The sequence below is a fragment of the Homo sapiens genome, chromosome 10, assembly GCF_000001405.40.
Source record: "Homo sapiens chromosome 10, GRCh38.p14 Primary Assembly".
NCBI classification, from domain to species: domain Eukaryota; kingdom Metazoa; phylum Chordata; class Mammalia; order Primates; family Hominidae; genus Homo; species Homo sapiens.
This window is the reverse complement of record NC_000010.11, coordinates 27,923,097-27,947,044: the sequence shown is the minus strand read 5'-3', so window position 1 is coordinate 27,947,044 and position 23,948 is coordinate 27,923,097. Positions and strand designations below refer to the sequence as shown.

At 37.0% G+C, this 23,948-nt stretch overlaps 1 protein-coding gene across 28 annotated transcripts in view; it reads left to right on the top strand.

Annotated features, from left to right (window-relative positions):
- The window catches only part of ODAD2 (outer dynein arm docking complex subunit 2), a 187,508-nt gene that overhangs the window by 52,631 nt on the left and 110,929 nt on the right, over positions 1 to 23,948 (top strand). For 21 of the 28 annotated variants that reach the window (XM_047425404.1, XM_024448052.2, XM_047425413.1 and 18 more), the window contains 6 exons: positions 2,083 to 2,229; positions 2,614 to 2,823; positions 6,240 to 6,482; positions 7,038 to 7,148; positions 10,165 to 10,319; positions 11,793 to 12,035. In XM_047425404.1, coding sequence (XP_047281360.1) covers positions 2,083 to 2,229; positions 2,614 to 2,823; positions 6,240 to 6,482; positions 7,038 to 7,148; positions 10,165 to 10,319; positions 11,793 to 12,035 — 1,109 coding nt within the window. Of the gene's footprint in view, positions 1 to 2,082; positions 2,230 to 2,613; positions 2,824 to 6,239; positions 6,483 to 7,037; positions 7,201 to 10,164; positions 10,320 to 11,792; positions 12,036 to 23,948 lie in introns of those variants that run through there. The other 7 variants (XM_047425414.1, XM_047425410.1, XM_047425408.1 and 4 more) reach the window with 2 other exon arrangements.

Here is a 23,948-nt window from a genome sequence, read left to right as displayed (position 1 = left end):
TTGTCATTCTGAACTTAATCATGAATGTGGAGGACAGCCTGCTGCATCCATTGGGAGCATTCATGTGGGAAATGGAAATTGTCAGTGACATCTTCACGGGACAGTTGTTGAGGACATTTCTAGAGGCATGGAAGAAATTTTCTTAAATGGAGTAAGAAGAAAGGCTGACATCTAAATCTTTCTGTCTTCACTTGGGATCGTCTAGTAATCAATCCTATTTCGGTTTCTTATTTTAAAAGCCTTGTGTTGAATTCACAAGAGGGTTTGCATATGTGTACATGTGTCATAAGAAGGAGGAGGTGTGTGGGAAGCTTGTATGTAATTTCCATTTTCTGTGCTAACCCTATTATATATAAGACATGGTATGAAGGGATGAAGATAAATTGGTTAAGAGGTACAAAATACAGTGAGATAGTACAACTAAGTTCAAGTTCCCTATTGTAGTACAGTCAAGAAATTATAGTTAAGAATAATTTATTATGTATTTCAAAACAGCTAGAAGGGAGGAATTGTAAAGTTCCCACCACAAAAAAAGATGTGTTTAAGGTGATAAATATCTCAATTATCCTGATTTGATCACTACACATTTTATACATGCATCAGAATATCACATGTACCCCCAAAATATGTACAACTATTATATATAAATTTTTAAAAATTAAAAACTTGACCTATTGTGTTGAATTCACAAGAAGATTTGCAAATGCACAAGCTCGTGCTATGGAGGAGGGAGTTTGGCAGCTGGTATGGAATTTCCACGAGCTGTGCTAAGCCTATTATATGTTATCTATTTATATATAGAAATATACATTTTTATATTGGTATTTTTTATATTTATATATTATATGTAATATATTTAAACTTTTAAATTTATATATAAACATAATGTAGAATATTTTATATATTTAAAAATACATTTTAAAATTATACAATAGATAATGGGCAGTAGATAATGAATAAATTTATAAAATAGACAATGTTTACCTTATCTATTATATATATAATCTATTTGTATACATAATTATATATATATACACAATAGATAATGGAAATATAATGCTTAATAAATGGAAATAAACATAATTTAAGGTGTCTTCCCTTAAAACATTGGTACTATGTTTGAAGCAGGGATCAAAGGCTTGTCTATTACCAGCACCTTTTACAAAAATGAACAGCCTTCTTGCTTTTGTGTGTGATGCGCTACTTTAGTGCTGATGCCAGAACTCTTATCAGCCAGCTGAATAGCAGTAGTGGTAATATGCACTACTCCTTAGAAGATTTTCAAAGCAGAAATGACCAGTGGACATTGTCTAAGAGTTCCTGCAGTGAATTCTGATTTTAATCTCCTGGCAGGTCTGGTTTACTGATCATTCTTTTTTATTTTTAATCTTTTGGGTTTTGTTTTTTAATCCTGAAGGAGCATCTCACTACTACTCTTTACATGTAGCGATTCACCAAGAAGACATTGGTTTGCAAGACTCTGCGTTCAGCCAGGATTTTGCTCACCACAGTGAAGCTTGCTTTCTTCTTCGTCCTGCCCATCCCATTCATTTGCAGGTCCTGCTGGAATTGCCTCTCTTTTCCCAATCCCACGGCCCTCAAACCACCTACTCTAGGTTCCAGTATGGATTGCGGTGCTGCTTCCTGCACGTTTTCCTTTTCTCTGAGTTCTCCCTATTCCGGACTGTTCTATGCACATCTGTAGGAATAATTTTCAGACGTGCTTTGCATTATGCAATACCCTGTTCAAGAACTGGGGGAACCATCTCTTAGCTCTGTGTACATCTTGCATTCCTCAGTCAGCCTCTCAAGGCTGTCCCCATGACTCTTTAATAGATGAATACCACCTGATGTTAAAGCTGTTTAAAGGAGACAGCCTGCCTTTAAATGTTGAATCTTAATTGGAACAATGTTTTATGATGCTCTGTACAGCTTTTCCATGCTTCGGCTCTACCTGATTCATTTAACAAATTCTAGCCCACTCAGAGACATGTTTTCCAGTTCATGGATTCGTAACTACTTAGTGCATTTCTATGGGAATGCGGTGTTCCTTAACCTTTCTCTGGCATTGCATCTTTGTAGGGAGGAAATCAAACAGCTACAGTGATTGCGTTGTGTTCAATGAGGGATTTCAGCTTAGCTCAAGAAACCTGCCAGTTGGCCATCAGAGATGTTGGAGGCCTGGAAGTGCTGATAAATTTGCTTGAAACCGATGAAGTCAAATGTAAGGTGAGTGGCTCTGTCACCTTGGATGCGGAGTCTTGTTCCCACCTTCCTGGGCTCTCTTCTTAGCTCTAGGTTTCTGCCATGCCTCGTTGCCTGGTTCTTGTCTTTATCTGCTATTATTGCTGATGACCTGCTGATTCTGTTCACTGAGCTTTCTCTTTTTTCTACTTTTCTTCTTTTTTTGCTCTTCTCCATTCATCTCTCATGCTTCCTGAATGAGGATTGTTTACTTAAATGAAAGAGAATATGCCAGATGTGTGTAACCTCTGGGAATGGAAATGATTTCTTAAAAAACTTAACTGGGGAAGGATTTTAGGTATACTCGGAATTTTTAAAAACATAGCACGGGTTACATATTCGCCACTCATCTTTTTTTTTCTCACACAGATTGGTTCATTAAAAATACTGAAGGAAATCAGTCATAATCCTCAAATCAGACAGAATATTGTTGACCTTGGGGGCTTACCAATTATGGTGAATATACTTGATTCTCCACACAAGAGTCTAAAATGTTTGGCAGCCGAGACTATCGCGAATGTTGCCAAGTTTAAAAGAGCACGGCGGGTGGTGAGGCAGCACGGGGGTATCACCAAACTGGTGAGTAGCCGTGATGTTGTCATCGTCATCTAGTGCCAGCCGCCACTGCACACAGCTCCTTGCTGTCCTTTCTGGCCACGCTGGAAATTCCATAGCCATGAGAGCGTGTTCCAGGAGCCTTCTGTCTGTATCGCTTGCCCTTAAGAATTATTTTTGCATATTTATATTAGTGAGTGTCCAAAACAAAAACATCTTCAAACTCATTTTTTGAAGAAATAGGACAGTTTTAAAGCAGATGTAACTGTCACCACCTATTGTACGTTGTTAGGAATGCATCCAAGTATACATGCATGGGAGGTAAGAGATAGTGAGACCTGCTGCTCGGTGGAATGCTGAAAACTTTAAAACGTCAAAAGCTTTACAACTTAAAAGCTGTTGACATCTATGATGCCTTTTTTTTTTTTTTTTTTTTTTTTTTTTTTTTTTGAGACAGAGCCTCACTTCTGTGGCTCAGGCTGGAGTGCAGTGGCGCGATCTTGGCTCACTGCAACCTCCGCCTACGGGGTTCAAGCGTTCAAGCAATTTTCCTGTCTCAGCCTCCCAAGTAGCTGAGACTACAGGTGCCCGCCATCAAGCCCGGCCAATTTTTATATTTTTAGTAGAGACAGAGTTTCACTATATTGGTCAGGCTGGTCTTGAACTCCTGAGCTCAGGTAATCCGCCCACCTTGGCCTCCGAAAGTGCTGGGATTACAGGTGTGAGCCAACGCACCCAGCCTGAAAAGTATATTTAATAGCAAGGAATAAAATGTATAATATTTAATATTGTATAAAATCATGACAGGATTAAAAACTGTTATCTATGATCCCAGTTTTTAAAGATGTACCTACCATCTTTAAAAAAAACCACTAGAAATAAACACACAAATTGCTCTCAGGAGTTTTCTCTGAATTGACTGATTTTTCTGCCTGCATTTCTACATTTGCCAATTTGTCTTCTTTGTCTAAGTCTTGCTTTTGTAATCAGAAAAAATAATTTTCTCAATAGCTGGCATCAAAAGAAAAATACCAGAATCCTGCTTACCACCTTTGCCATCATTAGGAAAGATCTTTAAAAAGTCAACATGTTTTCACTTTCTTAGTAAGGATCAATAGATCTTGTGTCTCACCCAGAGCTGTTATCTTACTGTATTGTTTCCACTTCTGCACTTTAAGTGACAGGCCTTATTCATCCTAGTGTCTTTCACAGCACTTAGCCCAGTACCTTACCCGTATGAACGGTTAATAAATACCTGTTGGATAAATATGGATTTTAATGTAAATAGGTACACTGAAAAATGTGTTCAGAAATTTTCCAAAAGACATTCTGTGTTTTCACTTGTCATCTGTAAAGCACTATAAATGTATTTGTTTCAAAAATGAGATAGACTTATGGCTGGATAGATGGATGAATAGATGGTGAAATATGTAATAAAACGAATGTGGCAGAATGTTAATTAGAGACTCCAGGTGGTGGATGTAGGGAGGTTTGTGTGCAATCATTGTACAATTCTTAAAGCTTTTCTGTTCGAAAATTTTCATTAAAATGTTACAGAAAATTTAATTATTACTATGATTATCATTATTCTGCTTAAATAATGAAACAATTTGGTAGGTTGATGTGACTGTCTACTGACACTACTCCCATTAAATTATAAGAATGGATAATGTAACATAAAATATGTTTTATGCATCACATTCAGGAACCTAGTACAGTAAGTCTTCATTCAATATCATCAACAGATTCTCAAAAATTGTGACTTTAAGCAAAACAACATGTAACAAAACCAGTTTTCCTATAGACTAACTGATATAAACAAGAATTAAGTTCCTATGGCATTTTTCTGGTCACAAAAATATCACCAGACTTCTAAATGAAGACCCCAACACTTCCAACATTAAAAATTGAAATGACTGTGACCTATACGTACATTTAAGAAAGATTCATCAAAACAACTAAGACAATTATTTAACCAATTTTTGGTGAATCAACCAGTAGTGCTGGTCATAGTGGCAGTGGGTTAAATCAAGGAATAAATTTTTGCAAGGCAAAGATTGTGAGGAGCACCTGCTAACCACCATGCAATTCCAAAACAGTCACAAATGCTACGGGCTTTCTGAGCACTTCCATACTGCATCATTTATTGTTGTGCATCTGTGTTCAATCCCACGGTCTTAGAATTTTTCCCACGTTCCTATCCCACCTGCAGTCAGTACCTGGAAGCCTCCATACCCCATCCCCGTCTTTCCTGGGGCCATAACTAATTAGACCAGGAGTGTCCACCTGTCTCAAGCCAGTCCCACTGGATCTCTCTCCCAGGAACTTGGAATTGGGATTGAAAGACTCTACCTAGCCTAGGCTATTATTCCCTTATAAATTTGAGATTGGTGGTTACGGGCAGTATCTGTGGAAGTTGACCTTCAGGGACAGAAGAATGGAGTAGACGTGCATAGATGATGGCTCCCAAGCCCCAGATAGAGACAGTGAGCCTGCAAGGAAGGCTGACAGCCAATTGCAGCTCTAGGGAGGTCTGACTTCCCTTCCTCCATGGGGCAACCTGACATACTGCTTAATCCTTATAGTAAATTGCCTTTCCCTTAAGATCTTCAGTGACTTTAGTTATTGCAAAAAAAAAAAAAAAAAAAACTGGATGCTGGCAGTTGTGCTGTTTGGTTTGGTTGGTTTCAGTAGCACATGAGGCAGGCTATGTCCTCCAAAGAGATCTCATGGTTTTTTTTTTTTCTTTTTTTTGGTTCGGGGGGCAGGATCTTGCTTTGTTGCCCAGGCTGGAGTGCAGTGGTGTGATCATAACTCACTGCAGACTTGAACTCCTGGGCCCAAACAATCCTCCCACCTCAGCCTCCTGAGTAGCTGGGACTACACACATGCACCACCACATCCAGCTTTTTTTTTTTTTTTCCAGTGGAAACAGGATCTTGCTATGTTGTTCAGGCTGGTCTCTAATTCCTGGCCTCAAGTGATCCTCCCACCTCGAGCTCCTAAAGTGTTGTGATTACAGGCGTGAGCCAGTGTTCCTGGACAGGTCTTGTGGCTTTAAGGTGTATAGTCCATTCAGTTCTCCTTAGAAAGTGCTAATGGTTTTAGGGAAGCTAGTTTTCTGAGATGTTTGGGCTGAGGATGTGGTTTACAAATATGATTGATGTAAATATTAGAGCCATGTTAAGAAAATACTATCTTGGTGGGCTTACATTTCTTGTGGGAAGGAAATGTATAAGCTCCCAAATCTGGAGGAAGGTTTTTTGTAGGGTTTTGTTTCTTTGCTTTCCGTGGCTGCTATGGAGTACGAAAAGTGATTTTTTAAAGCATTCTTGTTTTTGACGGAGGTGAGCTTGGTAAGGAACACTGTAGCTATTGAAGAATGCCTTAAATGTTCTTTTTAAGATTTCCATGAACATTGGATTTATCTATTATTATAGGTTGCTCTACTAGACTGTGCACATGATTCCACAAAACCTGCCCAATCGAGTCTGTATGAGGCCAGAGACGTGGAAGTGGCTCGCTGTGGGGCACTGGCCCTGTGGAGCTGCAGTAAGAGTCATACGAATAAAGAAGCCATCCGCAAAGCTGGGGGCATTCCTCTGTTGGCTCGGCTGCTGAAGACTTCTCATGAAAACATGCTAATTCCAGTGGTGGGGACATTGCAAGAGTGTGCATCAGAGGTACTCATGCCAGTTCTGCTTCCCTTGCCTTCTCAACTTGACTTTCTTTAGTCCAAAAGTTGTTTCTAAGGTTATCATGATGGCTCAAGGACATTCTTTTTCTAGAAGTCAGCATTCTATGAGAAAGAGAAGATCCAACTGATAGGACGTTAATTAAATCAGTACCTGTGATATATATACACATATATGTATATATATATATCTCACACATATATACTGACATTTATATAAATCTCACACGTATATGCTGACATTTATATATATATCACACATATATACTGGCATTTATATATATATCACATATACTGACATTTATATATATATCACACATATATGCTGACATATATATCTATACACTATATATATATACACACACACAAACACACATATGTGTATATTAATTCAGTTGATTCTCTTATTGATGTAGGGATATGTTAAGCTTGGACTATGGTGATTATTTCCTAAGAAAGTTTGTTCAGCATGTTTATTAATAAATGTAAACAGTTACTTATATTCACGTCTTGAACACATAAATATGTAGGTTTTTATTCCTAGGAAAACTACCGGGCTGCAATCAAAGCAGAAAGGATCATTGAAAACCTTGTCAAGAACCTAAATAGTGAGAATGAGCAGCTGCAGGAGCACTGCGCCATGGCCATTTACCAGGTGCAGTGAACTCTCCCAGCGGTTGTTGGCGTTCTTTCTCACATAGTTTAAGGTAGTTTTCTAACCATGTGGTTTCCTTCTGTGAGAATGGGACTCAGGAATCTGCATTTTATTTATTTATTTGATTTTTTTAAGTTTTAATTTATTTTTATTTTTTTAGAGATAGGGTCTTGCTCTGTTGCCCAGGCTGGAGGGCAATGGCACAATCATAGCTCACTGTCACTTCAATCTCCTGGGCTGAAGTGATCCTCCCATCTCTGCCTCCCAAGTAGCCGGCACTTCAGGTGTTTACCACCATGCCTGGCTAATGTAGGGCTAATTGTTTTTGTATTTTTGGTAGAGATGGAGTTATTTTTATTTTTTCTGTTGCCCAGGCTGGTCTCAAACCCCTGGCTTCAAGTGATTCTCCCTCCTCAGCCTCCCAAAGTGCTGGGATTACAGGCATAAGCCACCGTGCCCGGCCTGCATTTTTAACAAGAACTCCATTGGATTTTCATAGACAGGTCTAAGAACCATTGTCCTGTGGTAATGGCAGATAACTTGTATAAGTCAGAGAAACCTGCTTTGACATCTGGGACTATTTGTTTCTAGAAGACACTTATGCATCTTTGTCTCCTAAAATAATGTACTTAGCGTAAAATAGATAAATAAGTACATGGTGCTTCTATATTGCTTTTAATATGTCCTGTTCAAATAATCTTGGGGCATTTATCTCCTACCAAGACTAGCCAGAGGAATGCGTGTGTGTGTGTGTGTGTTCCTGTTTTATCTTTTTACTGGTTTACTTATTGTAATCTACACTAACTTTTTGTGTATGATACATTTCATAGTATACCAGAAAACAGATCAGAATGGTAAAGGGAGAAAAATGGCCTTGACAAAGTAGTGGATGGCTGGTTACTGTGCACGTCTGCTTCTACCTAATCAGAGTAGGTTTGCTAGAGGAATGCACTTAAGATGTGCAGCATCAAGAGAGTATGCCAAAAAGATACAAGGGGCTGTACCCGGCCCTGCAGTCCCCGTATTCCCAGCACTTTGGGAGGCTGAGATGGGCGAATCACTTCAGGTCAGGGGTTCAAGACCAGCCTGGCCAACATGGTGCAACCCCGTCTCTACTAAAAATACAAAAAATAGCTGGGTGTGGTTGCATGTGCCTGTAATCCCAGTTGCTCAGGAGGCTGAGGCAGGAGAATCACTTGAACCTGGGAGGTGGAGGTTGCAGTGAGCCAAGATCGCGCCACTGGACTTCAGCCTGAGACAGTGAGACTCTGTCTCAGAAGAGAAAAAAAAAAGAAAAAAGAAGAGACAGATACAAGGGAGTCATTTCAGTAGAGGATTGTATTAGGTTGTGAGGGAGGGCTGCCATAACAAAATACCACAGACTGGGTGGCTTGAACAGCCGAAATTTATTTCCTTGCAGCCCCAGAGGCTAGACGTTTCAGACCAAAGTTAGTTTCTTCTGAGGCCTCTCTCCTCAGCTTGTAGACGGCTGCCTTTTCCCTGTGTCCTCCCACCGTCTTTCCTTAGTGTATGCCAGTGTCATTTTCTCCCCTTGGACAGCAGTCCTATTGGAGCAGGGCCTACTCAAGTAATTTTGAAGAGGCCATTTAGCCTTAATGACCTCTTTAAAAACTCTGTCTCCAAATACAGTCACATTCTGAGGTACTGGGTGGCTCAAGCCTATAATCCCAGCATTTTGGGAGGCCGAGGTGTGTGGATAACCTGAGGTCAGGAGTTCGAGACCAGCCTGGCCAACGTGGTGAAACCCCATCTCTACTAAAAATACAAAAACAATTAGCCAGGTGTGGTGGTGTAATCCCAGTTACTCTGGAGGTGGAGGCACGAGAATTGCTTGAACCCACGAGGTAGAGGTTGCAGTGATCTGAGATTGTGCCACTGTACTCCAGCCTGGGCAACAGAGAGCAACTCGATCTAAAAAACAAAAAACAAAAAACCTCTATATATGAATTTTGAGGGGACACAATTTGGCCCATAACAATCGTATATAGCCCTGACTTGTATATATTTGTATATATGCCTCATCAGAGTAACCACTGAGTTGATTAGAAATAGGGATTAATTTTTAGAAGGTGCCTGTAATCCAGAATTGAAAATCACGTGCAGAAGATAAACATGGCAGGTGCCTGTATGGTGCACTGTGATGAGGATTTCTTCTAGTGGCCTCCATGGGTGACACATGACACATATCTGGATCACATGGCATCAGAAAACATCTGTGTGCTTGGAGTAATTGCCAAGTCTCTGCTAACTGTATCATCTGTTGGCTCTAGAGCCCGGGAAGAATGATCAGTTGAGACCATCTGTGCAGTAAATATTTATTTCAAAGGATGACACAAACATGGATAAGCATATTTGAATAAAATGTCAGGTACTATTGATATCACTCACTGCTCTGGGCATAGAAACTTGATTGGAGAAATTGTTTGTCTCTAATCACCTGAACCCAGGAGGTGGAGGTTGCAGTGAGTCGAGATCATGCCACTGCACTCCACCTTGGGCGACAGAGCAAGAGTCTCTCTCAAAAAAAAAAAAAAAAGAAAAAAGAAAGAAAGAAAAAAAGAAAATATATTTGTCTCTAGATTTCAGGGGCCATTGAAGAGCTGACCAAATCCCTATCACTCATCTGTCTTCTCTACTATGTTTTCCCAAGACTCTGAGTTGCATCACTGCAGAAATCCTCCATTCCTTGCTAGTGGAGTTGTAGGTTTTCCACTGACCTTCGCCTCAGGAGATGCCTAGGCTATCTCAAAACTGGCTTGGGAGAATTGCTGAGTACTTAGAAACTGCTATCCATTCCCAAAGCCACATAAGGAGAGAGACATGCTGTCAGAAAGCTACTAGTAGAAAGATGAATTATATTTTACTTGGAGGCATCTTTCGAAAATGATCTCTCTAGAAAGAAGTTTCCTAGCTACTAGAATGGCAGCCTTTTTAGCATCATTGAAAGCTTGATATTCCTTGATGACTGACAGCCTCTGTCTGACTTTTCGTGCAGTGTGCTGAAGATAAGGAAACCCGGGACCTCGTTAGGCTGCACGGAGGACTTAAGCCCTTGGCCAGTCTACTCAATAACACTGACAATAAAGAGCGGTTAGCTGCTGTCACAGGGGCTATATGGAAATGTTCCATCAGCAAAGAGAATGTTACCAAGTAAGAGAAGGCTCTCAATATTCTGAAATGAAGATACGGCTTCTGAAACACCTTCTTGTCATTTAATGCCATTCTAGTAAGGAGTCAATTCTAATGTTAGTTGTAGATGTACATTCTGGATGAAGTTAGCCCAATGAAGGGATTCTTAGAATAGAAAAGAAAAGAATAGAAATTGCCCACCACCTGGCAATGACTTTTTCTGTGCCTCAGTGGCACTAAGAGGCTTGCTGACATGATTTCTCTATTTTGCATATGGGCAGCCATTTGAATTAGAAATATCTTTGATATTTTCTGTGGGGACCTATCAAGGTGAGTGGGCGGATTTCCCATGGAATCTTTAGAGATGGAAGTGATTTTGTTCTTTTTCCTTTTCTAAAGATAAACAAGATGAATCAACTAAATGTCAACTAACCAGTTACTCTTTAAAGAGTGGTCATTTTCAAACATGATTTCATCAGATTCGATTTTAAAGTATTTGTAACCTTTATGACCATTTGATTTATTTTAATTTTCAAATCTATCTCTTCCTATTTTTGAGAGATTACAATCTCAATGATGGGTATTCTGAGGCAGCTTCTCCTTGACTCCATCTGATTATTTCCTTTAACAAGAGATTCACGTCCCGACCATTTAACACAAAATAAGTTTACTTAATAAGGCGTAGTGAAGTCATGGCTAGATTAAAAGTAACCTCGGCTAATGGAACTTTTATCTTAATTAAAAACTCAGCTGCATCATGGTACTTAAATACAGCTGAAATTTATTAGGAAGGGAAAATGTTCTGTATAGAAACTAGGAATTTTCAAATATTTACCTTTATGTAGCATGCTTCCTTTTGGTGTGTGTGTGTATGTGTGTGTATTTGTGTGTGTATATATATATATGCATACATATGTGTGTGTATATATGTATGCACACATACATATATACATATATATCAGAGTGCAATTTTATGACAAGAGAGATGGTAAAATGTATTAGTGGTTAATATAGAAGATACCTGAGAGTGACTTTTTTTTTTTTATCCAAGTAGCACAAGCTACTACTCATTTCAAGAGACCTATTAAACCCAAATAGGTACAATAGAGCCATGTTTGATGCATTTGAAAACAAAAATATATAACATATAATTTATTTTTATTAAACATTTAGAAGACTTCATTCAGGTAAAGTAGTCTCTGGAAGATAGGGGGAAAAAACCCTAGTAGAGTGGAATCTTAGATCCTCAGGTTTAGAACAAGCTGTGGTTTTCTTAGAGGCTGTACTGCATGGTGATTAAGGGTGCAGGTCTGGAGCAGATGGCTGGGTTAGACGTCAGCTCTACTATTTACCAAGCTTCAGATTAACCATCCAGTAATGGGGATTTAATAATATCTGTATCATTGGGTTGTTGTAAGGATTGAATGAACATTTAGTAATTTTTAGCAAACCTTATACAAAAACCAATTCTCCTCTTTCTTATGATGAACTTAGGTTTCGGGAATACAAAGCCATTGAAACCTTGGTGGGACTTCTAACAGATCAGCCTGAAGAAGTACTTGTGAATGTGGTTGGGGCCTTGGGAGAATGCTGCCAAGAACGTGAAAACCGAGTCATTGTCCGGAAATGTGGTGGCATTCAACCACTTGTGAACCTCCTTGTTGGAATAAACCAAGCTCTTCTTGTGAATGTTACAAAAGCAGTTGGTGCTTGTGCAGTAGAACCTGAAAGTATGATGTAAGTGGCCCTGGAGATGGAAAGATTTTATATAAGTGTTAGGGAGAACACTTGGGAGGTCACAGAATAGTGTCATCACTTAGAATTGATGTGCACGAATGATGAAAAAATACAGTGTGTCATATAAATAATCACAAGTTTACCAAATCATGAGTTACAGAGCCAAAACATTACCTCATATGAGATGGAGGGCTAAGTTGGTCATATTGGGAGGATTTACAATACACGGTAATCAATTTCCCATGTGGAAACCTTTATTCAGTCAACAAAACTTTTCTCTGTCTCCTAGGGAAGTATTATACATCTATCTAACTAGGCTCCTAGAGAGTGTCAGGTACATTCTCATAGTAGCCTTCTTGTTTCTCACCTATTCAGCAAATGTATTTTGAGCACCTGGCAAGAACTGTGAACTGATGAGGGGAAGAGACAAGAATTTTAAGTAATGGTGTTGCTCCTTATTGTCTAATTAGGAAGAAAAGACAATTTAAGAACAATAGAACAAAAAGATACAATATACATATAGAGAGATATATCCATATATAAATAAATATATCTATATAAAGATATATATTCATATATTAAAAGATACATATACATATATGTATAAAGACATATATCTTTATATTTTATAAAGATATATATCTTTACTCCAACAAAGGAGGAACCTGGGTGACTTAAAGCTGTTGTATTAGGGCTTTCCAGAGAAACAGAACCAACAGGAAGTGTGGGGAGGTAAGCGTATTAGTCCATTTTCATGCTGCTGATAAAGACATACCCGAAACTGGGTAATTATAAAGGAAAGAGGTTTAATTCACTCACAGTTCCACATGGCTGGGAGGCCTCATAATTATAGTGGAAGGCAAGGAGGAGCAAGTCACATCTTACATGGTGGCAGGGAATAGAGAAGAGAGCTTGTGCAGGGAAACTTCTTTTTAAAACTATCAGATCTCATGAGACTTACTCACTATCATGAGAACAGCATGGGAAAGACCTGCCCCCATGATTCAATTAACTCCCACCGGGTCTCTCCCACAACACGTGGGAATTCAGGATAAGATTTGGGTGGGGACACAGCAAAATCCTATCAGGGGGCTTCGTCTAACCACGTATCTTATACACAAGTACTAACACCTCCTTTTGCATTTGGTTATTGGAATCTTAGTCTCCAGTGTTTCAGACACTAAGGAATACAAGTTGCATACATGATTACTTTAAGGGAAGCATACTGGCTGGACTTGTAAAACCATTTTCTAATGTATTTATGTTTTTGAAACGCACTTTGCTATTCATTAGAATCTTATAAACACTTGCCAGAAATGGCTGCATGTATTTCTTTTGATCTTTGGTTCCTCTTTATTTTTTGTCTACCCAAATCTACTTGGCCACCAACTACCTCTGATGTTCTTTGAATGCATTTCCTCCTCTCTGCTCTCAGTTGGGCTCTGTCATCTTTTACCTGGACTATTGAAATGGGTCCTATTTGGCATCACCTCTAGTCTCCGCCTCCCTTTTCAGTTTGTTCCTGAAAACATTGAAATTTACTTTCCTAAACTGCATATCTGATAATGTTGTTTTCTTGGCCCACAAAACCTTCAGTGACTTCTCAATGCTAAAATCCATTTTAATACTAAGGTGCTTAACTTGCTATTCAAAGCATTTTGTCTTATGGCCCCATTTAACTTCTTTGCTTTCATCTTTTACTTGCAAATATCAATTGTCTGGAGTTACATTCTTATTTGTTTTGTTTAGTTTGTTTTTTAGAGACAGGGACTCAGGCTGTCACCCAGGCTGAAATACAGTGATGCAATCATAGCTTGCTGCAACTTCAAACTCATGGGCTCAAGCAATCCTCCCATCTTAGCTTCCTTAGTAGCTGGGACTATATCACCATGCCCTCTAATTCTTTAAATTTTTTTGTGGAGTTGGGGGTCTTGCCATGTTGCCCAAGTTAGTCTTGAACTCCTTGTCTCAAGCAAACCTTCTGCCTCAGCCTCCCAAAGTACTGAGATTACAGGTGTGAGCCACCACACCCAGCTCCTTATTTATTCCTTTACATTAAACACATATTTATTGAGCATCTTTTGTGCTAGCCACTGGATTTATAATGGTAACCAAACAAAGCTCCTGCTGTCGTGGGGATTACATTCTATTATATGTGTGGAACATTGACTATACATTCAATCAGTTAGCAAATAAAATGATTTCCATTGTGTTAAAAGCTATGAAGACAAGAAAACAGTGTGATTGAAAGAGTGACTGGGTGGGAGTTGGTTACTTTAGCTCAAGCAGTCAGGAATGTAGACTCGGGGAGGATAATATTTAAAGCAAGACCTAAAAACTGAGAAGGAGGCAGCTTGCATGAACATATCAGACAGGAGTAGCCAACATGGAGAACCTGAGATGGAACTGGGCTTCGCCTGAGAAACCACCTTAAAATTTTCAAATATTTTCCATATAGAATTTATCATTGTCTCCCTTGTTAGTAATAATATTTTTGTATCACTCGATAGACTATATCACAAATCATCTTTTAATCTTTCTGTGACTATTAATTTCTTAATAAATATACAGATGGTCCCAACTTATGATCGTTCAACTTAGAAATTTTTAATATTTGATGGTGCAAAAATACGCAGTCAGTAGAAACTATACTTCAAGTACCTCTACAACCATTCTTTTCTTCAATTTCAGTACAGTATTCAATAACTTTCATGAGATTTCAACACTTTAGTATAAGATAGGCTTTGTGTTAGATGATTTTGCCCAACTATAGGCTAATGACGTGGTGGCTTACATCTGTAATCCCAGTACTTTGGGAGGCAGAGGCAGAAGGATTGCTGGAGGCCAGGAGTTCAAAACTAGCCTGAGCAACATAGCAAGACCCCCGTCTCTATAAAAAATGTAAAGAATTAAAGGATGTGAGGGTGTGCGCCTGTAGTCCTAGCTACTCAGGAAGCTAAGTCAGGAGAATTGCTTGAGCCCATGAGTTTGAGGCTGCAGTAATGTTCTGAGTGTATTTAAGGTGGGCTAGTCTAAGCTATGATGTTCAGTAGGTTAGGTATATTAAATGCACTTTTGATTTATATTTTCAACTTATGATGGGTTTATCGGGACATAACCCCATTGTGAGTTGAAGAGTGTCTGCACTGAATTGTATTTATTATAGATTAGAACTTACTCTTGCGAAGCCTCTACTTCTATTCTGTATCTCAGCTTTAATGATTTCTATGTAAGTCATTGCCAGGTTATCTAGTTGCCACCTTGAAATTCCTTCTAAATGTTATCATTGCATTACTTTTTGAAATGAGTCTTTAAATTCTCATTAATATAACTGTTTTAAGCAAGTATTAGATTTATTGACTTTTCAGTTGTATCCACTGAAGAAAAGCCAGAGAAAACAGCTATATTCTTTTCATATTCTGAATTGTAAAGAACCTATCAAGTTTTGAAACAATAAAATGGAAATGAAAAAAAAATCACTGATAAACAACAAGCCTGAAGGACCTGATTGAGCTGGGTAGACAGACAAGTGAAGTGATAATTTTAAAATAGTAAAGTAGATGATGAGAAGGCAGTAAACATTTATTAGTAATGCACAAAACTAGTTTGTGGAGTTTTATGAGTGGCTTGACTTCTGGTTAATGGCATGAAACCTACAAAAAGAGAGCAAAAGTAGAGAAAAAATTATATTCACCCAAACAGGGGAATGGCCACAACTCCAAATTTTAAAATGTAAAACGCACCTGCAAAATGCTATGAATTATTGACCCATATGTAATATGCTGACTTTTAACACATGCCTCTTCAGATCTCAAGATTTCCCCCCAAATAAGTGTCATGGTCATTCGAAGCATAGTCAACCTTTCTTTCTTTCTTTCTTTCTTTTTTTTTAAGAGAGCAGAGATTAGGGGAATTGAATGGGTCTTGGAAGAAGTGAAGACTTTGCCATCAGAGACCCAGTTTTGCATTATGAGGCATCAGAAGTAGAGCCTTGGGAAAAGTCATACGGACATGTCATTTTGTTTTGTCTATAGCGGCCTTCCAGCCATTTCGTAGACATTTCGGAGTGAAAAGGGTATTAGAGACAATGATTGCCAGATTGTAACACAAAAAGAAACTATAAACTTTTAGAGATTTAGAGTAAACCAGATTGACTGTTTGAATGCTCAAAACTAAATGACAACGTGTTCTCAGTGTGAAAGGGATTGCAGGTTGTTGTGTGATTGTATTTGAGGTGATTCCATCACAAAAGCAAACAGATAAATTCAAGTAACTTCCTTAAAGTCACAAGGCTGTTAAAACAGTATATTGTTTCTTAATAAGAGAATCAAAAAATTATATAAAGTTTTTGTTTGCCTTTTTCTTTTTCTTTTTTTTTTTTTTGAGACAGAGTCTGGCTCTGTCGCCTAGGCTGGAGTGCAGTGGCATGATCTCGGCTCACTGCAAACTCCGCCTCCCGGGTTCACGCCATTCTCTCAGCCTGTTTTTGTTTTTCAGAGACAAGGTCTCACTCTATCACCCAGGCTGGAGTGCAGTGGTGCCATCATTGTTCACTGCAGCCTTGAATGCTTGGGCTCAAGCAATCCTCCTCCCTCATCCTCCCAAGTAGCTAGGACTACAGGTGTGCTAATTGTTTTCAAAAAATTTTTTTGTAAAGACAGGTTCTTAAGCTCCTGCCCTCAAGCAGTCCTCCCGCCTCAAACTTCCAAAGTGCTTAGGATTATAGGTGTGAGCCACCATGCCTGGTCAAAATCATAGAAAGTTTTGCAAAAGATTTTATAAGGCAACCTAAGTAGTTTTAAAAGCAAGTAGTCAGAGCTCAGAAAAGAAATAGGAAAATCATTGAACAAAAAGCCTGGATAGGAGTAAAAGAAATATAATAAACACAACTAAAAACACAGTCAGGAATGTGATGTATAGGAAATAAAAAATAAAAATATATAAAATGTTAATAGAAAAATGTATAAATATGGAACCCAAGGAGAGCCAACATAAACGTAATTGGTATTCCTCAAGAAGAGGTTGGAACCAATGGAATATGATCTTAAGTAAAGATATAACAGAAGAAAACTTTGCTGTGAGTCTTTATCTCAAAAAGACCCCAAAAGATCTTAGTAATATTGACATAAAAAAGACCAACAGCAACACATATCCTGATAAAATTACTTGCATTTCAGAAGGGAAAAAATAAGTACATCCAGGCAAAAGAAGCAAACCATTGGCTGTAAACTTCTCTGCATCTTCTTTTAATGACACAAGCCATTGATTAAAACATCCTGAGAGAGAAAAAATATTGCCTGAGAATTTCACATTAGCCAAGTTATCCTTCAAATGTGAAGGCAATATCATATTCGTAAGCATACAGGATTGGTGAATGTAGTACTCTCTAGCTCTCCCTGAAAAAACTACTTGATGACAAAATCCCAGTCAACCAAGAAATTACTCAAAGTACTTTAAAATAGTAAAACTATGGCTAAAAGATACCAGTGGAAACCTTTGAATTCATTTAAATATTAAGCTAAGACAAAACAATGAAAGAATCATCATTAGGGAGAGTCATCTATATTTTATAGAAATGGATAATTATAATTTAATAATACAACTGACAAAAATCAAAACAAAGTCATCTCAGGGCAGATGTGTAAGTATGCAAATTTTATCATCTTTCACATAAAAAGTCAATAGACATGGTACAAAACATTATTTTATCTATCAATCGTCTCTCATCTATTCATCTGTTTTATCTATCTGCCTTATCTATCCATCAATCCTTCTATCTACCTAAAGACATACAGAGATATCCAGAATAATTTACCTAAGCAGCTAATGATTGTTATTTCAGTATGGTAGGATTTTGGGGTCATTTGTTAATGCTTTGTATTTTTCTGTACAGTCTACATGATTAATATATGTCACCTTTACACAATCGAATTTCTTGTTTAACACCTTGTACAATCCCATTTTGTTCATACGTATAGTGTATAATGGCTAAACATATGGATTCTGGAACCATTGCCTGCAATACCAGTCTCATCATTCACCAACTATTTTTCCTTTGGCAAATTGTAAATGACTCAGTGTCTTGGTCACCATATACATAAAATGGGGATAGTATGGTACCTATGTCATTGGGTTGTTGAGATGATTAAGTGAATTTATGTAAGTAAAGTGACTGACATATAATAAGTGCTGTGTGTAAATGTAGGCTAGTATTGTTGCGGTAGAAATAGGTTCAATTAATAGAAATTTTAAAAGATAATACATAACTAGAAAATGAAAGTCAGATTGCATAGTATGTATATTCATCTGTATAAGATGATTTTGCCTCTTGATTGTGTTTCTCTTATATCAAGACATGTTATTTAATTTGCCATAAATTGAAACAAGGGGCCTTAAATGGCAAATAATTCGCATTAAACTCTCACCTGCAGTAAAGGAGGTTTGAGGGCATGTCATAGATAAGTGAACAGGCAATAGATAATTCAGGTCTTTGTGTGTCATGCTAATTTGGATTTTGTTTTGAGGTCAGTCGAGGATCATTGAAGGTTTTTAGCATTAATAGAGACAGGAAACCTTGTTAGGGGATCATCATAGGTGAGAGGTGAAGGTGGCTTAAACTAACCCTATAAAATATAATGTAATAAAAATAGAGAAATCGATAGGTTAAATAAAGACCTATGATGGAAGAGAATGGATGGGACCAAGTGAATGACTGAACATGAGTTACAAAGAATAGGGAGGAGTCGTAGATGATGTTCGGTTTGCTGGCTTGGGTAACTATATGGATATTGGTACCACTTACTGGTAGAAGATGGTTGAAGAAAGAGTGAACTTCATGAGAGGAGAGACAAAGTCAATATGTTCATTATTATACCTCCAATGCCCAACCCAGGACCATGATCAGGGTAGGCACCTGACAAATGCTTATTGTATAATAAATGAATGGTGAGTTCAGTTATGGTTGTGTAGAGACATTGAGGTTCCTATGGGACACCCAAGTGGTGATGTCAACTAGTCAATTGGGTATTCATGTCTAAAGCTTAGTTAGATTAGAGGGATGGGTTGGGTGTATAATATTATGAATATTTGGTAACTTATGTCATGGATATATGTAAGAGGTTGTGAGGAAGAGAAACAGAGTGAAGAAAGAAAGACAAAAACAGAAGCTTATTGAACTCAATCATTTAAGGAGAATGAACTCAATCATTAAGGAGAATGAAGAAAAAGTCTCTGTAAAGAAACAGGCATCAGCCAGAGAGTTGAGCGGGGAACTAGAAGAGTGAGTTATAGAAAAAACAGGCAATAGAGTGTTTAAAGGAGACAAAGAGGTCAAACATGTTAAATTCTATAGCAAGGCCTGGTAAGATAAGGACTAAACTTCCCTTTTTTGTGCAACAAGGAGGTTAGTGAATCCTTTTGTACCTGTGAACATAGGCGTCCCACGTGTGTTTTTATAAATACACTAAGTTTCAGAAAACAGTATTTTAACTTTGATAAGAATCAAGACAGCATTACTCTTTGCATTATGTTTCAGGCATGGCTATTATTGCTAGATTTATAGGACCTACTGCATCTTTGAGCTTTAAGTCTTACATGGTAAGGAAATGACAAATCCCTCTCTCCTATGTAAATCTTCCATAATTCATGGGTTAGGAACTTGTTTTAATGACTAGCAGTTTTATGTTTTAGTGATTTGGCTGTGGCTATGGTAAAAACTTGGGTCACATATCAGGATAAACATATAAACCCTTAGCACAGTTTTATTAACTTTGTGGAGTAGAATTCATAGCACCTCTCTTCCTTTATATGTTTCTCAGTAGGAATAAGAAATGTCATCTTAATATTAATAGTTTGGCTACTGAAGTAAAAGTGATTTTTGTGAAACCAATGATTTTGTAAAACTCTATTGACTTTTTTCAGTACTCCAGACTACTTCTTTTAAAAACTCAATATAAATTATTTCATACTAATTATGCCTTATGCCCCACCACCAGATCTAAAATGGGACAATAGGTATCCTGATACATTAAGTTTATGAAACAGTAGATTTACGTGTGCTGAATTTTCGTTTCTTGTTTTGTAAGTATCAAGTAATGTCTATTTGATACTTATAAAATTTATCTGGAGGTAATCTGGCCTTCAAGTATATAAAATCACACCAACATTGCAAAAAACCATTAACATTTATGTTTTGGGGACCATAATTTTCTGATAAAATATTATAAAATGTCAAACAACTAAAAAAATTTAAGTTAAAAACTTCAGAAATATCTATGATTTATTTTTCCATACCTCAGGATCTTTACTTTCTTTGTAAAAAATTTTCTGCTAAATTTTACTTTGAAATAGCATTGGACTTATGGAAAAGTTGCAAAAGCAGAGAGACAACACAAAACACAGAATTCCCATGCCCTTTACTCAGCTTCCCTTAACCTTAACATCTTACATAGTCATAGTACATTTCAGAAACCTTCCATTATTCAAGTCCAGATTTTTGACTTTGAAGAGTGTTTTAAAGGTTTCTTCATATGAATTTTGTTTATTTTTGTCCGGTTAATTTGTAAGTATTTTGTCCTCTTTGTGGATTGTGGAAAAGTTTTTTTTTTTTCCGCCTCTGCCATCATGTCCTCAGACTGATTGGCTGTTTTTAATGAGCTCCGTTGAATTCTGTATGATAATTCTATATCCCGCTACTTTACAGAATTCTCTTATTGGTTGAGTTCCTTTTATTGTTAATTCTCTAGGACAATGTTTGATAAACTATGGTTTATGGGCCAAATCTTACTTTTATAAATAAAGTTTTATTAGAATGTAGTTACCATCATTAATTTATATATTGCCTTTGGCTGCATTTGTGCTACAACTGCAAAGTTGAGCAGCTGTGGCAGAGAATGGATGGCCCACAAAGACTAAAGACTAAAATAATATCTAGCTCTTTACAGAAAAATTTGCTCACCTCTGCTCTAACATTAGAGAAAGTGTTACTTTTTTTTTTTTTTTTTTTTAGCTGGAGTCTCACTCTGTCACCCAGGTTGGAGTGCAGTGGCACCATCTTGGCTCACTGCAACCCTTGCATCCCGGGCTCAAGCAATTCTCCTGTCTCAGCCTCCCAAATGTTACTCCTTTAAAATTCTTATTCTTTAAATTGATTTATCTCCTCTAATTTCATTAGCTAATTCCCTAGTACCTTCTTGAATAGTAGTGGAGATAGGGATCCTCTTTGTCTTGTTCATAATTTTAGTGGGGATGCCTCTAGTGTCTCTCTATGAAGTAAAAGAATAACCTTAGGTTTAAAGTGTATGTATTTTATCATATTAAAATTATCTCTCAATTTCTATGTTTAAAGTGTTTTTTGCCATTGTGGTGGCTCATGCCTGTAATCCCAGCACTTTGGAAGGCCAAGGCAGGAGGATCACTTGAGGCCAGGAGTTTGAGACCAGCCTGGAAAACGTAATGAGGCCCTGTCTCTACAAAAACTTTAAAAATTAGTTGAGCATGGTAGTGTGCACCTGTAATTCCAGCCTTTCAGGAGGTTGAGGTGGGAGGATTATTTGAGATCAGGAATTTGAGGCTGTAGTAAGCCATGATTGCATCACTGTACTCCAGCCTGGGTGACAGAGTGAGGCCTTGCCTCAAAAACATTTTTTAAAAAGTGTTTTTATTAGGATTGGTAATTGAATTTTGTCAAAGGCTTTCTGAGCATTTGTGGGGACTGTGCTCTATATGTTTCATCATGATTTTTTTCTTATTCCTATTAATATAGGGAATTATTAATGCATTTTCAAACATTGAACTAACCTTGCATTCCTGGAATAAGTCTCACTTAGTCATAGTGTACTGTTTTTCTTAATGTGAGGTAGGACTCTGTTAGCTAATATTTAGCATTTTTGTAATAATATTCATGAGTGATATTGGTCTGTAGTTTTTCTTTTTTCTGTTTTCTTTTTCTGGCTTTTTATAAAATCTAGTTATCAATGTTATACTTGCTTCACAAAAGGAATCGGGATTTTTTTTTTTTTTTCATTTTAAATACTCTGGAACAGTTTATTGAGCAATGGGACTACCTGGGCTTTGAAGGTTTGGTAGAAGTCTCCTATGCAATTATATGGACCTACAGTTTTTTAAAAAATTATTTAATAGCTTTCTCTAGTTCTTCTATGTAAAGTGGTCTATTTATGTTTTTTATTCTACTGAGCTCAATTTTGGAAATCTGCATTTTATTAGGAAATGTTCAATTTCCTTTCAACTTTCAAATTTATTTGAATAGTGGCCTGCAAACTAATCTCTTAATGGTGTTTAAATTTTCCTGGTTCAATGGTTATTTTTTCCTTGTCATTTTAAATTTTTGTATAATGTGGGCTTTCTTCTGTTTTTTTTTTTTTTTTTTTTTTTTTTCCTCCTAATCAATTTAGCTAGTATGGTTTCTCTATTTTGAATTTTTTTTCTGAAAATTTTTTATTTTATTAACTGGATGTACTGTTCTTTTATTTTCTACCACATAAATTTCTGGTTTTATCTTTATTCATTTTGGTCTCTTTTGGTTTATATTGTAGCTATTTTTCTAATTATTTTAATTTTTTAAAAAATAATAAAAGTTGCTTATGTTATGAATTTTCCTTTGACATTGCTTTAAATGTACCCTGTAATTTTGATGTATAGTACTTTCATTATCATCATTTTTAGAAGTGTCTTAATTTCACTTTGTATTCCCCTGTTAGCCCAGTTGCTTAATAGAATTAATGAGAAATTTTTCTTTAAAATTTTTTTTAACTACACAGAGAATTTTACTTTTTGATTTGTTAGATATTTCTCATACTACATTTTGATCAGAGTGTGTTGACTTTTTTATTTCAACTGTTAATGAAGCTTATGGATGCTTTTTTAATGACAATAGAAGATGAATTATTATGAGTGTTTTATGGGTACTGGGATTCTCTTTCTTTCTTTCTTTCTTTCTTTCTCTTTCCTTCTTTCTTTCTCTTTCCTTCTTTCTTTCTTTCTTTCTTTCTTTCTTTCTTTCTTTCTTTCTTTCTTTCTTTCTTTCTTTCTTTCTTTCTTTCTTTCATTAGACAGGGTCTCTCTCTATCACCTGGAATGCAGTGGTGTAATCATAGCTTACTGCAGCCTTGGACTCCTGGACTCAAGCAATCCTACCACCTCAGCCTCCCAAGTAGCTAGGACTACAGGTATGTGCCTCCACATCCAGCTAATTTCAAAAATTTTTTGTAGAGATGTGGTCTTGCTCTGTTGTCCAGGCTGGTCTTGAACTCCTGTCCTCAAGTGATTATCCCCCATTGGCTTCTCAAAGCACTGAGATTACAGGTGTGAGCCACTGTACCCTGTCAGTGCTTGGGATTCTTTATCAACAGAGTGTAGAGTTTGATGTGTATTCTCTAGATCTACTTTATATTACTTATGTCTTCTATCTTATTATTTTGTGTGAACTTGATCTGTCTTATGCTGTAACTGCTGTATGAAATTCTCTTATTATTAATGTACTTTTATCTAAATCTTCTTACATCTTCTATAGTAGGTGCTGTATTATTTGGTGCATAAATGTTTCTAATGGTTATGAATTATGACTTTTGATATTTCAAGTGCTGTTCTTTGTCAGGTTTAATGTGTTTTGGCTTGATTTCTACTTTGTTTGGTAACAGAATATTTATCCCTGCTTTCTTACTGTTTCCATTTGCTTGATATATCTTGATCTACACTTTTTTAGTCTTTCTGAATCACATTGTTTTAGATGTGCCCTTGCATGCAGTATATAAATGGGGTCTTGTTTTGTGAGTCAATTAAACATAGTTTTTGTTTTAATGAGTTAAACGCATTCACATTCATGGATATGAATAATGTTTAGTTTCAACAATGTCGTAATTTTTTATAATTATATTTTGCTATAAGATTTGCAGT